This window comes from Homo sapiens, chromosome 15 (genome assembly GCF_000001405.40).
Source record: "Homo sapiens chromosome 15, GRCh38.p14 Primary Assembly".
NCBI lineage: Eukaryota > Metazoa > Chordata > Mammalia > Primates > Hominidae > Homo > Homo sapiens.
In genome coordinates, this window is record NC_000015.10 from 20874033 (window position 1) to 20889165 (window position 15133).

The window sequence follows — 15133 nt, forward strand, 5'->3', positions numbered from 1 at the left end:
TTTCTTGGGCTTCTTGGATCTCATAAATGATAACTCTACTTTTATTGTTGCCTTCTCCAAAGGAACCTGAATACCAGCATCACCTTCATTTACCCTAAAGCATGATTCTCTGCCTAAGAAAACCCCTATGGTTGACATTTACATTTACTTTATACCTCTCTTAATCTTTTGAGGAATGCCTCTCTACCTATTCTGCATGGTAAAGTTCTAATTAATTACAACTATGAAACAGATATTTCCTTCTTTTCTTATGTTTCAGATATTGAATTACTTTATTATTGCCAAGCACAATCTGCTTTGCTAAATTATTCAGTATAAGCTTGCTTCTTCCATTAGACTTTGGAATTCCTGAGATAAGAAATTACGCTTTATTCTGAAAGTGTGCTTAAATCAATGGAAAGTTGGTTTGTCCAAACTGGATATAGAGGAATAGAGTTATTCTGTACACAGCCACTTTTAGTTGCAAGAGCAGCTAGAAATAGGAGTTATGCTACCTTTTCAAAGACATGTCCTCAGCCAGGTGCAGTGGCTAGTGCCTGTAATCCCAGCAATTTGGGAGGCTGAGGCGGGTGGATCATGAGGTCAGGAGATCGAGACCGTCCTGGCTAACACGGTGAAACCCAACTCTACTAAAAATAAAAATAAAAATAAAAATAAAAATAAAATAAAATAAAATAAAATAAATTAGCTGGGCATGGTGGTGAGTGCCTGTAGTCCCAGCTACTGGGGAGGCTGAGGGGGAGAATGGCTTGAACTCAGCAGGCGGAGCTTGCAGTGAGCCGAGATCGCACCACTGCACTCCAGCCTGGGTGACAGAGCAAGACTCTTTCTCAAAAATAAATAAATAAATAAATAAACAAAATAAAGGTAGGCTATACTAAGTTAAAGATGCTGGCTGTAACCCTAGAGCCATCACAAAATAAAATAAGGTAAAATACAGATACAGTAAATAAGCCACTAGTGAAGACAAAATAGATACAATGAAATTAGAAAAAAATTAAAATCCTTTAAAAAGCCCCATTTGCCTCGATTTTCCTAATTACACAAAGGAGGCAAAGTGTGAAAAAGGATAGATCACGTTCCTCTAAGGACCCATGTCAGGTATCTGTGGAATGCAGGCGGTGCAGGAGGGTGGGAATGGGTGGGTGCCCAGCGTTGCTAAAGCTATGGAGTGTCTTCCCATTTTTAAAGAAATCCAGAAGTGCAGATCTATTCATTCAACCATTCATTGATGTAAAATCTGGTTTCTAAGGTGTTCAGTTTGATGACTAATATATGTATACTTTGCCATCAAAATCAAACTCATTCACATTCCCATCACCTCGCAGAGCTGCCCTCTTTCATGTGTGTGGTGAGAACAATAAGATCTACCTCCTCAGCAAATGTCAAGTATACATCGCAGTGTTGTTAGCTATATTCACAATGTTGAACAGTAGATCTCCAGAACTTATTCATCTTGCATAACTGAAATTTTATACCCTTTGACCAACATCTGCCCATCTCTCCTTCCCCCAGCCCCTGGCAACCACTCTATACCCAGCAATCCCATTTCTTTGGGGATATAGCCAAAGGAAATAAAATCAATATCTGGAAAACATACCTGCACTGTTATGTCCATTTGGGCATTTTTAACAATAGCCAAGTAATAGAAACAACCTAAATGTCTGTCAATGGATAAATGGATAAAGAAATGAAAAAAAATACACACACACACACACACACACACACACACAGTGGGATATTATTTAGCATTAATGAATAAAAAAATCCTGCCATTTTTGACAGCATGGATGGACTTGGAGAACATGCTTGGTGAAATAAGCCAAGCACAGAAAGACGAATAACACATTGTCTCACTTATAGGATGACACTGCATTCACGTTTCAGCCACCTCTGCCACACCCACCCATGCAAACACACCCACCCATCTCAGTTCCTGCCCCTGACTGGGGGACAGGGTGGGCGCTCTCTGGCACATGTTCCACTCATGCTTCTCCACCTCCAGCTATTTTAGGCTCTGACACTGAAAATGAAATTCTTACCAAGATGATATGTGTTGTGTTGACATAAAACTGATAGAAAGTGTACCAAAAAACATGGAAGTTTTAAACATAATCCACCAAAAGAACATACTCACAGTCGACATTTCTTTCATTATTAAGAATGAATGTCCATAACCCTCACTAAGACAAAAGTCATCCCATTTGTCTACATTTTTTTTCTTTGCAAACACACACTGAATGACTTTGTGTGACAAGCTGTGAAGTTTTACCAATTCTTCAAACTCTTTGATTTGCATTATGCTGTTTAATCCTGAGAGGCGAGCAGCTGTCGCTGGTAATTCTAAGCCTAGAATTCCACCACCTAATAGGTGAAAATTATAGTAGGCTGATCATAAAACCATGTTGTTAACTTTTTAAAATTTAATGACTACCAAGGAATTTCACCTTAGTGATACATCTTTTGAGAGATTAGAAAATGAAGAAATGCACGTGTTCAATGATCCATTTTAGAATTTAAAAAGTCTTTCAAATGAGCATCTTATTCATATATTGTGAAGAACCACTGGAAACAGTTATTTAATAATGTGGCTAAACGCGTATTCAGAGTAATGCTTCCTGTATATTTGCACATTTATACACTTATGTCCCGCTCCTGGAATAGACTTACCAGTTTCCTTTTCAGAAAATTTCAGAATTTCTGGAATGTGCCGAAGTACTAGTGGGTAACTTAGATTTGGAATACACTGTATTAGGTGTAACTGGAAAACTGAGAGGCTTCCTACACTGGAAGGTCAAAGATCTTTCCTGGAGGAGAGTTAAGAATTTGCCTTTTCTTACCATGACTCTGTTAAAAGAGAATATAAACAATGCAGTTTCACAAAAGGAAGGGGACAGTGGTGTAAATAAACCTCCCCATCATGTTCTGGTGGCTTTCCTGTAAGTCTTGAACGTTTTCCACTGGGTGTTACAGTCGAGAGGCCCCCACCTCCTGAGGAAGCAAGACCCCGAAACCCCGAGACGATGGGCTGTGCTGCTTTGGCCCCATCTTGCTTGTGTTGTTTGAAGGGGCCCTGCTGCCACCCAGCTGTCATTAACGCCACCCTCACCTCCCAGGAACTGCATCACTCGGACGGACAAGACACCTATGTAATGACCATAGTAAGACCCCATGTGCGTGGCTAATGAGGCAGTGCCCAACGTGGCGTGGAAGCCCTGCTAGGGAAATCCCGCCCCGCCACCCCAGATGCGCCACCCCAGACCTGCTCTCGGACCTGCGGCCCCTGGCCCCTGGCCCTTTCCCGTTGTCACCGAGGCTTCTTGCTAAGAAATGGAACTTCAGAAAACCCCCAAATATATACTGCATTAGGTAAGGGTTTCATTCTAATGGAGTCCCATGTGACCCTGGCTTTCCGTCCGGCAGCAATGCACTCCTGTCTATGAATGAGATGAAAAGAGTGCCCACAACAAGCCAATTTCTTTCAGGAGCGACTAAGACATGCGCATGTCCGGGGGTGCCTCAGAGCACCCGGGAGGGACCCAGGCCTGGGCAGGGAGGGGGGGCCGGCCCTAGGGGAGCAAAGCTCTTGAAACTGGCCTCTGTTGCCGGGCTCCTGACCCTGCCCTCCCATCCCTGCACTACAAGAGGACAGCGGCGACTACAGGAGGCGCCGAAGACGCTGCTGAAGGCCCTAAAGAAACTTCAGCAGAACCGGAACTCCCCTTGCAGGTCCAGCCGCGGGCCCTGCGCCCTCCCGCTCAGCCGAGCGGGGCCGAGGGCGCGTTTGCTGAGTGTCTGGTGGCCTCTACCCAAGCGCCTCTTCAGAGGGCTGTTCCTGCGGCCCAGAGACTGCTTGAGGCGCTCGGGGAAGGAAAAGCAGGCGCTGGTGCGCCGGGGGCTCTGCTGGGGACGGCGCGGAGCTGACTGAAGGGCCGCTGCGGTAGCGCAGGGCGCAGGAGCTGCTCCGCCCCGGAGCGCCGGGAAGGTTGGCGCTGGCAGCCTCCAGCCCCTGCCAGCCGGGCGAGAGCAGGCGGAGAAGGAGGATGCACCGTCACCTATGGCTCGCCTCCACCGGCCGGCACGCAAGGTGAGCTCTGCGTGCGCCCGGCGGGACAGTGAGGTAAAAGGGCGGGAGCGCGGGAGAGGACTCGTGGCCCCGGCTCAGCCCGCACCCCTCTCCTCTGGGATCCCGAATCGCGGGCTGCGTGGTGGGCCAGGAGAGGTGCAGAGCAGGCGGGGCGCCGCGGCCAGTCCGGAGCGCAAACTTTCCCTGGCGACTGCAGCGCTGAATCTGGGCGCAGGAGAGCGCGGGGTCCGGGCTGCTCAGCCCTGCCCGGCGGGGTACCTGGGCGCAGCGCACATGGGTCAGCCGGTAGGAATTGCGGGATGGGGGACACCCAGCGCCACTGTCGGGAGCCGTAGGAGCGAGATGGACCACCTGGAAGGCCCGGGTCAGCCCTTGGGCTCTGAGGCACGCGGCGTCCCGGCGCTGGTGGCAGGGTGGACTCGGATCCCGCGAGGGTGTCGCGCTAGTCGCGGGGGCTGCTTGAGGCCGGGGGACTTCGAGCCGCTGCTGCACCACTCGCTCCCAGCACAGGAGGAAGGCGCCGGCTGGCGTTGCGCTCTGCTCGGACTCACGGCAGGAGCGGGGGAGGTCTGCGAAAGCCGGGAGCGAGCCGGGGAGGGCCAGCGAACTGGAGAGGCTCGGCGCGCCGCTGCGGACGCGGCGGATGGCCGACCACGGGTGCCAGGGGAGGCCCAGGCTGCGGCGCCGCAGGAGCCCCCGCGCCCACCTGCCCCTGCGCGCCGGCCCTGGCGAGCCTCTGTGGAGGTCAGGGGACCGTAGCCTCTCCTGGGGTTCCTGCCTAGCGACTGAGGGGCGGCAGGAGGCGCAGCTCCGGTTTCCCGCATGCAGCGCTGCGTGCTCGCCGCCTGGTTTTGTCCGGGTCAGGCAGACCAGCCCCAGGACGCGCCCAGCCGACCCACGCATGGCAACCTGCCCTTCTTGGCAGGAGTCGCAGAGGGCTTTGGCTTCTGAGGTGGAAGTACCTGTTATGTCTCCTAATTCCGGAGTTTGCGGGGGTTTGGGCTGGCGGGGGGGCTCATTGGGAAAATGCTTTTCAAAGCATTCTGTTTGGCTGCCGTGAGCACCTATTTGCCTTATGTGCATATTGAGAAATGTGTGCTTCTACTAAGGTTAGTCGCTGAGCCCAGGGACAGTGTAGGCCTGGATTTCAAATGCATTAATTAGGGTCCAGCACCCAGCCTAGAGACTTCCACAAATGCAGTAGTTATTTCGTCACGGGGACTGAATGCGGAGAAAGTAGCCACACCGTTATAGGCAATTGTTATACCCTTGTGATCCTGCAGAAAACCTGTTTCTTAAATGTGCTTCCCCCCTCTTTCTTTCTATGTACTTTCAGTGCCTTGCAGAACTAGGAGTAGCGTGCTGACTTTGAACACGTGGTAGATATTTCAGAAAGGTAAAATTGTTAGGCTTGTGGATTTGACAGATACAAAATACAGTTGCTCAGACAACTAAAGCATTTATTTTAATAATTGGACTAATGTTTCATTTGATAACATACTAAAAAATAAAACAGGTTGGGCGCAGTGCTCACGCCTGTAATCCCAGCACTTTGGGAGGCCAAGGCGGCGGATTACGAGATCAAGAGATCGAGACCATCCTGGCCAACATGTTGAAACCCCATCTCTACTAAAAATGCCAAAATTAGCTGGACGTGCTGGCGTGCGCCTGTAGTCCCAGCTACTCGGGAGGCTGAGGCAGAATTGCTTGAACCCGGGAGGCGGAGGCTGCAGTGAGCTGAGATTGCACCATTGCACTCCAGCCTGGCAACAGAACGAGACTCCATCTCAAAAATAAAATAAAATAAAATAAAATAAAATAAAATAAAATAAAGCAGAGTATTTGAGACATAGAAAACAATAAATTACGATGACTCTGCACTCTGAGTAGAAGTAAAAATAAGCCAACTTGTTAATCTTTTTATGTTTCAACTTACTGCCCGGTGAGCGTGGTGGAAAATTCCTTGCATGCAGCTGTGCCAGGGAAGGACAGCCAGCTTCCTTTCTCTAGGTTACAGCAGGGAAGGACAGCCGGCTCCTTTCTCCAGGTCACAGGATCTGCTCTGCTTGGATTTGATACGGTGGTTAGTGCAGCCCATAGTCCAGTTGCTGCAGCAAAAGTTGCTTGAGTCTTTGATAGGAGAGGACACTTGAAAGCAGGAAATGAGAAACACATTTTGATCTTTATGTAGGAGCTCATTGTTCCTGACTCTCTCCTGGGATAAAGGACAGGGAAGAGTGGACTTTTTTGCACTTCTAGTTCCTTCTCCCTGTAGCTGTAGTCGTAGCAAGTAAAGGGGTTGTACTGATGCTTTTTAAGGCATATTATCAACATACAGCCATGACTTGTCCAGAGAATCTCACCTGACAAAAACTCAGAGAAGAAAGAGAAAGAAGATGAAATGGCTGGTTTTCAGGTAAATGTGTCCCAGTTCAAGGGCTGTGACATGGATAGACTGCATGGTGGTGAAGTCAGGGCTTTTAGGGTATCCATCATCAGAATAACATACATGTCTCTGAATTTTGATATTAGCCATCCTAACAAGTGTGAAATGATATGTCATCATTGTTTCTATTTGTATTTGCTTCATGATTGAAGATGTTGAGCAGCTTTTCAAATACTCTTAGTTTACGTCTTCACTAAAAAAATATTTCTTTACCTGTCTTTTAATCATGTTATCATTACTGTCATTATTATTGTTGTTTTGGTTTTTTATTTGTATGAGTTCCTTACATATTTTGGATATTAACCACTTAACAGTGGTTTGCAAATATTTTCTCCCAACCTGTAAGTTTTCTTATTGTTTTCTGTTTATAAGTTTTTTAGTTTGATGTAGTCCAACTTTTTTATATTTGCCTTTGTGGCGCACTTTTTGTGTCAGATCCAAAAAAATACTGTCAAGACCAATATAAAGGAGGTTGACCACATTTTGTTTTCTTTTAGGATTTTTAAGAATTCATGTGTTTTATTTGTCCTTATTTTGAGTTAATTTTGGGATATGATGTAAGAAAAATCATCTAATTTTATTCTTTTGCTTGTGGATACCCAATTTTCTTAGCTCCAAATAATAAAGGGATTTCACTTACTGCATTGTGCATTTTCAATATCCTTGTTCAAGATTAATTGATTTTATAGGCATAGGTTTTTTTTTCTAGGCTCTCTACTTTGTTCTGTAGGTTTTCGTGTTCATTTTTATGCACATGCTGTCTTGTTTTTATTACTATAGTATTGAATATAATTTAAAATCAGAAACTATAGGGGCGGGTGCGGTGGCTCACACACCTGTAATCCCAGTACTTTGGGAGGCCGAGGTGGGTGGATCATGAGGTCAGGAGTTAGAGACCAGCCTGACCAACATGGTGAAATCTCGTCTCTACTAAAAATATAAAAATTAGCCGGGCATGGTGGCGAGCACCTGTATTCCCAGCTACTCAGGAGACTGATGTAGGAAAATCACTTGAACCTGGGAGGCAGAGGTTGCAGTGAGCTGAGATCGTACCATTGCACTCCAACCTGGGTGACAGAGTGAGACTCCATCTCAAAAAAAAAAAAAAAAAAGATCAGAAACTATAATATCCTTAGCTTTCTTCTTCCTCAAGATTGCTTTAGCTATTCAAAGTCTGTTGTAATTTCACATAAATTTTAAGCTTGTATTTTCTATTACTGTGAAACAAGTTATTGGAATTTTTATAGGGAGTTTATTAAATCTATAGATCATTTTGGATAATGTAGAATTTTAACAATATTTACTCCTCCAATCTATGATAGCTTTACATTTTTTGTCTTCTCCAGTTTCCTTTATCAATATTTTATTTTTCAGCATAAAGATCTTTCACCTTAGTTGTTAAATTTGTTCCTAAGAAATTTATTGTTTTTTATTTTATTTTAAATGAAATCATTTTCTTCCTTTTAATTGGATAGTTTGTTGTTAGGGTATAAAAACACAATTGAGATTTGTATGCTGTTTTTATATTCTGAAAATTCATTGAGTGCATTTATTAGTTTAAATAGGTTTTTGGTGTACTATTTATGGTTTTTGTATATAAGATCATGTCATCTACAAAAAGTGACATTTTTTCAATTTAGATGGCTTTAAAATATTTTTCCCCAAATTGTTCTACTTAGGACTACTAGTATGTTAAAATAGAAGCATTAAAATTGGGCACAAGGTGGCTTCATTGTGACTCCTCTTATTTCGAGCAGACTCAACTGCTTTCAGAACTTTGATCTGTAGGGCAGATGCCAGGGCCAGGGTTCTGAAGCTGGGTTTGCATATGGCGGCCCTGATAGTAGGTGTGTGGATGAAGTGTGACTTCTGCTGAGTACCTGAGAGGGTTTTCTCTCCCTTTGTGGGTCTCTAGGTGGGCAGAACTGTCTATAAACTATGGTGAAGAGGGCTGAAACTGAGTCACAGACCTGCTTCAGAGGCCACAGTAAAGGTGAAAGGTTAAATTCTGTAGGTCTGCCTCCATTATCATGAATGTCTCTCCCCAGTTCTCTGTATGGGAAGGACTAATTCCAGACCATAACTGGGAGGCATTGGAGATGGTTACAGAGTCACTTCAGGATTCTCAGTGTGACTGAGTAGGATGGGTCAATTCCTAGTCTGTAGACAAGATCAGGGGTTCTCAGATTTGCCCCCTGAATGAGGGCCTGCCTTCCCAAAACAGCCCTCCTCAGTCTTTGTTTTTCACAGGGTATCATAATGCCCTCTCTAATCCCAAAGCTCCCATAAAGGCACTTTTGTCCATGGATGGCTGCAAAAGTATTGTAGCTGTGGGAAGATAAACAAGAGTGATCCCCTTATTCCAACATCCTTGCTGATGTCACTCTCCTTATATGGTTTCACTTTGTATTTTGCTGTATTACAAATTTGTCTGTTATTTTAGATTCATTCAGAACAATATGCTATAATTTCCACACCATGTAAGAAGTAAATCAGACAGGCACTCCCTATTTATTAAAATGTTCATTTGTACGTTACAGTTAACTGAAATCATATAGGAATCATTAACATTTTTGTTTTCTCAACCTATATCTAAATGATAAATTACAAAAAATTATTTCAAAATATTTGCATTGTATATAACTCATATTTTACAACATACATGGTTTTACTTTATTTCAAAGTCTAATGCTTTTCTTTGCTTCTAAAGAGTGAATTGCAGCCTTTTTATTTTCTGTGAAAATAGCATCAATATATTAATAGTAACACATTATCTTTACTGTCTTTACATAATCATTAAAAAAATTTTACTAGAGCATTTTCTTAATGTCTGTAGTGCATTTTCTGTAAAATTTTACTGCCATACAGTAGACATCAATGATTCCAAGTATGTGCGCTCCATAGGTGCACAATCACAGGTGAACTCGGTAGTTACCTAGAAAAAGGTGTTATAATGATATATCAATGTTGCATACAGAATTTTATAGGTAAATGTTTATCTTGTCTTGCAATTCCTAATTACTGTGTTTTTAGTAAGGATACATTTATAGGCAGTTTATTGTGTTTCTGTTTTACCTATGTATTATAATTTTGAATGACAATTTGCAACTCTGTATATATACTTTAAATCAAGGTGGGGTTTAATTCAAAGATGAATTAACCAGCTGTCTATCACTGTTAAATTATACATATGTATGTGCATGGTTGTCTCTATAAATATAACACCAACTTTGTTTATGGTTCATCTTGTGTATTTCTCCTCTGGGCTGATTTTTTTTTTTTTTTTTCGACGGAGTCTGGCTCTGTTGTCAGGCTGGAGTGCAGTGGTATGATCTCGGCTCACTGCAACCTCTGCCTCCCAGGTTCAAGCGATTCTCCTGCCATAGCCTCCCAAGTAGCTGGGATTTCAGGCGTGCACCACCATGCCCAGCTAATTTTTAAATTTTTAGTAGACAGGGTTTCACCATGTTGGCCAGGCCTGGGTCTTGAACTCCTGACCTCAGGTGATTGGCCTGCCTCAGCCTCCCAAAGTGCTGGGATTACAGGCGTGAGCCACCGCGCCCAGCCCGTCAAATATAGTATTATTTTTTGTTTCTAGATATCCCATATAAGTGTATTCAGACAACCTGTCTTGTTGTGACTGCCTTTATTTAGCATGTTAAGATTTTGATTTTATATGTTACATATGCTGATTTTGCAAAGCTGAGCAATATTCTATTTTTATATTCCAAATTTTATTTATTCATTTAAGAAAGTTGAAGCTGCTTTAGCCTATCAGCTTTTGTCAATAATGCTGCATGGGTGTGCAAACAACTCATTTGACCACACATGTGTAGCTGTATTTCTAAGTTTTCTATTGTTTTATTGTTCTTGTTGTGTGCATTTATGCCAGCACCAAATTCCTTTAGCTACTGTAGCTTCACAATGTATTCCAAAATCAGGAGGTGTGACACCCCCGATATTGTTCTTGATATTTCAAGATTGTTGAGTCTTCTTGGTCTCTTTGTAGTCTGTATAATTCTGGGGTTGCTTTTTTATTTCTGCAAAAATAAACTGAGAATTTGGAAAGGACTGTATTGAATCTGTAGACCACTTTATGTAGTCTGGACATCTTCATAATATTAAGTATTCCCACCCTTGAAGAAAAGCATGTTCGAGGGTGTATTGTTTAACTCCCATATATTTGTGAATGTTTCATTTTCTATTTTATTCAATTTTGGTTATAAAGAATAAGCAGTAATATTTCAATTTAAAAAAAGGTGTTAAGACTTGTTTCATGGCCTAACGTCTTCTATCAAGAATATTTTCTGAAATATTGAAAACATTGTGTATTTTGTTGGATGAGGTGTTCTCTACGCATGTTGAATTTGATTTTTATAGTGTATTCAAGTCTTCTGTTCACTGTGTATTTCTTGCTTCAATGTCATCAATGTTTGCTTTATAAACTGGAAACCCTGATGTATGATATAGATGTATAACTGGAAACCCTGATGTGTGATGTAGATGTAGATACAGGTATAAGCACACACACAGGAATCCACACACAAACAACATATACAATTTTTATAGGTTTCCAATGAATGAACCTTTGTATTATTTAATGTCTTTTTTATCCTGTAGTTTTGAATTAAATTTTATAAAATATGATAATGATTGACTTAAAGTCTTTTGTCACAGTGACTACTTCTGCTCTCATTTGGCTAACATTTGCATGGAATATCTTTTTCCATCCTGCTTTTAGTCTATCTTTGTGATTGGATCCAGTGATTCTCTTGTACACAGAATATAGTTGATGCTGTTAATACAATTTTTAGAATCTCTTCATGAAATATGTCTTTTGATTGGGAAAGTTAGTCCATTAATATTTTTAAAGTATTCTGAAATGGAACTTACTATTATTATATTAATCATTGTTTTATTATTGTAGCCATTTTGTTCCTTTTTCATCTTTCTTGCTGTCTCACTGATTTCTCTGGTGATATGGTCTGATTTCTTTCTCAATTTCTATGTTGTATTTCTCTAATATTTGTGGTTATCATGAAGATTACAAAAATCTTCTTAAAATTACAATATATTTTGAATTGGTAAGATATTCAGATGCATAGTTTTTTTCAGTATGTCTGCTCTCAACTTTGTAAGTCACAAATTATATTGTCATATTGTGTTTATAACTACTTTCATGTTTTTGTCTATCAAATTTTGAAAATAGAATTGTTTTCTATATTATAATTTTAATACAATTTCCTGTTATGTGCATGTCTTTATTAGAGAGTTATATGTTTTTTATATAATGTAGGTTTTTTCTAGAATTTTATTTTCAGTGGAAGAGACACCCCTAAGCATTTTCAGTAAGGCAGATATACTAGTGATGTACTTTTACTGCATTTTGTTACTTTGGAATTTTTTTTGAAGAATTTTCCTAGTTATAGTATTCTTGCTTTGAAAGTTTTTGTTTCAGCACTTTGACTATATCACTTAACTTTTTTTCTGGCCTGCAAGGACTGTGTTGATAAATCCACTGCAAATCTCAATGAAGCATGCTATAGATGACACAACAGGTTTATCTTACTGCTTGCTTCCAAGATTCCTTTTGCCTACGACTTTTAAAATTTTGCTTATAATCTGTCTTGTTATGAGTAACTTTGTGTTTATCTTAGCCAAAGTAATTTAAGCTTCTTGATATTTTACAAGTATTTTGTTTGAGAATTTCTGTCTTTATGACTTACTGTAGTCTTCAGCTCCATAATTTTTGAAGGTTTTTATAATTTTTTGTGATATTCTCATTTTGCTGCTTTCATTCAGTTGTCTATGTTCCCATTTCATACACTGAGCATCATTTAGATGGTTATTTTGAATATTTTCAAGTAATTTGTATATCTCAATTTTTTAGGGTTCATATCTGGAAATTTATTGTGTTTTTTTGGCCATGTTACTCTGGTACTCTGTTGTCATCTTTCATTGTGATTTGAGCATTAACAGAAAGCTGTCACAGTCTTTATAAAGTGGTTTGGAGTCTGACACCAATTGACCAGGCTAGAGATTCTGGAGGTTTCTAAAGCCTGTTCTCAGGCTGTGTCTACTCTGGGATTGTGTGTTTATTTTCTTTCTTCAGAAAGAAGTCAGAAGTTTACTTCTATAAGCATCATGCTGCATTGGAGAGGAAGAAGGGCTGTGGTGGGTAAATGCAACAAATTTTCCTTCCTCTACTATTTGGCTTTTGGCATTCTGCTTGCCTGGGGTGCTGCAAACTCTTGATTTTTAAACTTATCACAATGGAATTTTGTTCAGGATATTTTTGTTAAGTGTATATGTATATGAAGAAATTAGGGCCTATGATTTTTATTGTGTCATTTTGCTAATGTGCTTGACATAACTTTATACATTAGGTTTCTAACACGTACTCACCTGAATCTAATAAGTGAGGTAATTTATTTTCCCTTTTCCCAGATGTGTATTCTCATTTTATGGAAGACATGTTGCCAGAGTAAAGCACAATATATTCATCTTGAAATGTAATACTGAGAAGATATGGAAGTTATGGAAGTTGTGGCCTTCAGAATTGACACTTACGGAGAGACTAGAACAGCGTGGGTGAGTTGTGAGGGGCAGGAAGCATGTCTTAATGGACTTAACCAATTTTCGTCAACTATTCACAGTAAAATCTTTCAATGTACAAAATTTAATAATCTGATAAACAATAAACAAAATATTTGAATAGGCATTTTTCATAAGACGTACAAAGGGCAGACAGGCATACGAAAAGGTGCTCAACATTTTTGATCATCAGACAAATGCAAATCAAAACTACAATGAGATATTACGTGACTCAGTTAAATGGCTTATATCCAAAAGGTAGGCAGTAACAAATGCTGGAGAGAAGTGGAGAAAGGGAGCCCTTGTATGCTGTTGACAGGAATGTAACATTTTGAAAATTCTTCAAAACAACTAAAAATAAAGCTACCATATAATTCAGGAATGCCACTCCTGAGGATTCACTTACTAGAAAGGAAATCCATACATTGAAGAGATATCTACCCTCCCATGTTTGTTACAGCAGTGTGCTCCAGCCAATATTTGGAAGTAACCTGATGTCCATCAAGAAATGACTGGATAAAGAAAACATGGCACATATACACAATGGAATACTATTTAGCCATAAAAAATAAGATCCTATTATTTGCAACAACATTGATGGAACCATAGATTAAGTGAAATAAGCCAGGCACAGAAAAACAAACTTTCCATGTTCTCACTTATTTGTCGGAGCTAAAAATCAAAACAATATAACTCATGTAGGTAGAGGTAGTTGCCAGAGGCTGGGAAGGGCAGTGGGGAATGTAGGGGACGGTAGGGATGGTTAATGAGTACAAAAAAAAAGAAAGAATTAGTAAGACCTAGTGTTTGATAGTACATCTGGGTAACTATAGTCAATAATAATTTTAATTGTACATTTTATAATAACGAAAAAAGTAAAATTAGATTGGTTGTAACACAAAGAATAAATGCCTGAGGGGATGATGGATACCCCATTTTCCATGATGTGATTATTTCTTTCTATGCCTGTATTAAAGTATCTCATATATCACATCAATATATCTCCAACTAAGTACCCACAAAAATAAAAAATTTAAACCAATTCAAAATGCCAGAATTTCTATACATGAACTATAAACTACCTGAAAAAGTCAAGTAAACAATTTTATTTATAATAACTACAAAAAGTTTACTCATAAATGTAACCAAAATGGTGAAAGATTTCTATATTAAAATTAAAAAACACTGAGTAGAAAAACTTTCTAAATCACAAATAAATGGAAAGATATTTCTGGTTCATTGATTGGCAGAATTAATACTGTTAAAATGTCTACACTGAGCAAAACAATCTACAGATTCAAAGCAGTCTCTTATCTGTATACAAATGAAATTATTTAGAATATTTCAAAAATTCTAAAGTTCATATGGCATCACAAAAACACTAAACAGCAACAGAAATTAAGCACAAATAATACAGCTGGAAGCATTACACTACCTTTGAAATACACTACAAAGCTTTAGGAATTGATACAGTATGATAACTGGTTTAAAAAGAGAAACATAGGTGAATAAAGCAGAATGCAGAGCCCAGAAACAAATTCATAAAATTTCAGGATCTTACACAAAGGTGACAAGAACACACAGTGGGGAAAGGACAGTTACTTCAAAAGTGGTGTTATGAAAACTGAGTATCTCCAGGCAGAACAATGAAATGAGACCCTCCACCAACATAAATCAAAGACTCAAAACTCTGGAACTGCTACAAAAAACAGAGTGAAAGCTCCATGACATTGGTGGGGACAATAATTTTTTCTTATTTATTTCACCTCAAAATCCCAGCAAACAAAAGTGGAAGTAGACAAATGAGATTACTTGAAAACTGAAAAGCTTCTACACAGCACTAGGTACAACCAACAGAAGAAAAATAACGTATAAATAAGAGAAAATATTTATGAGTTATATATCTGACAAAGGGTTACTATCCAAAATAGACAGGAAACTCAAACAACTATAGAACAATAAACAAGTAACTATTAAAATGGGTGAAAGATGTAAATAAACATTTC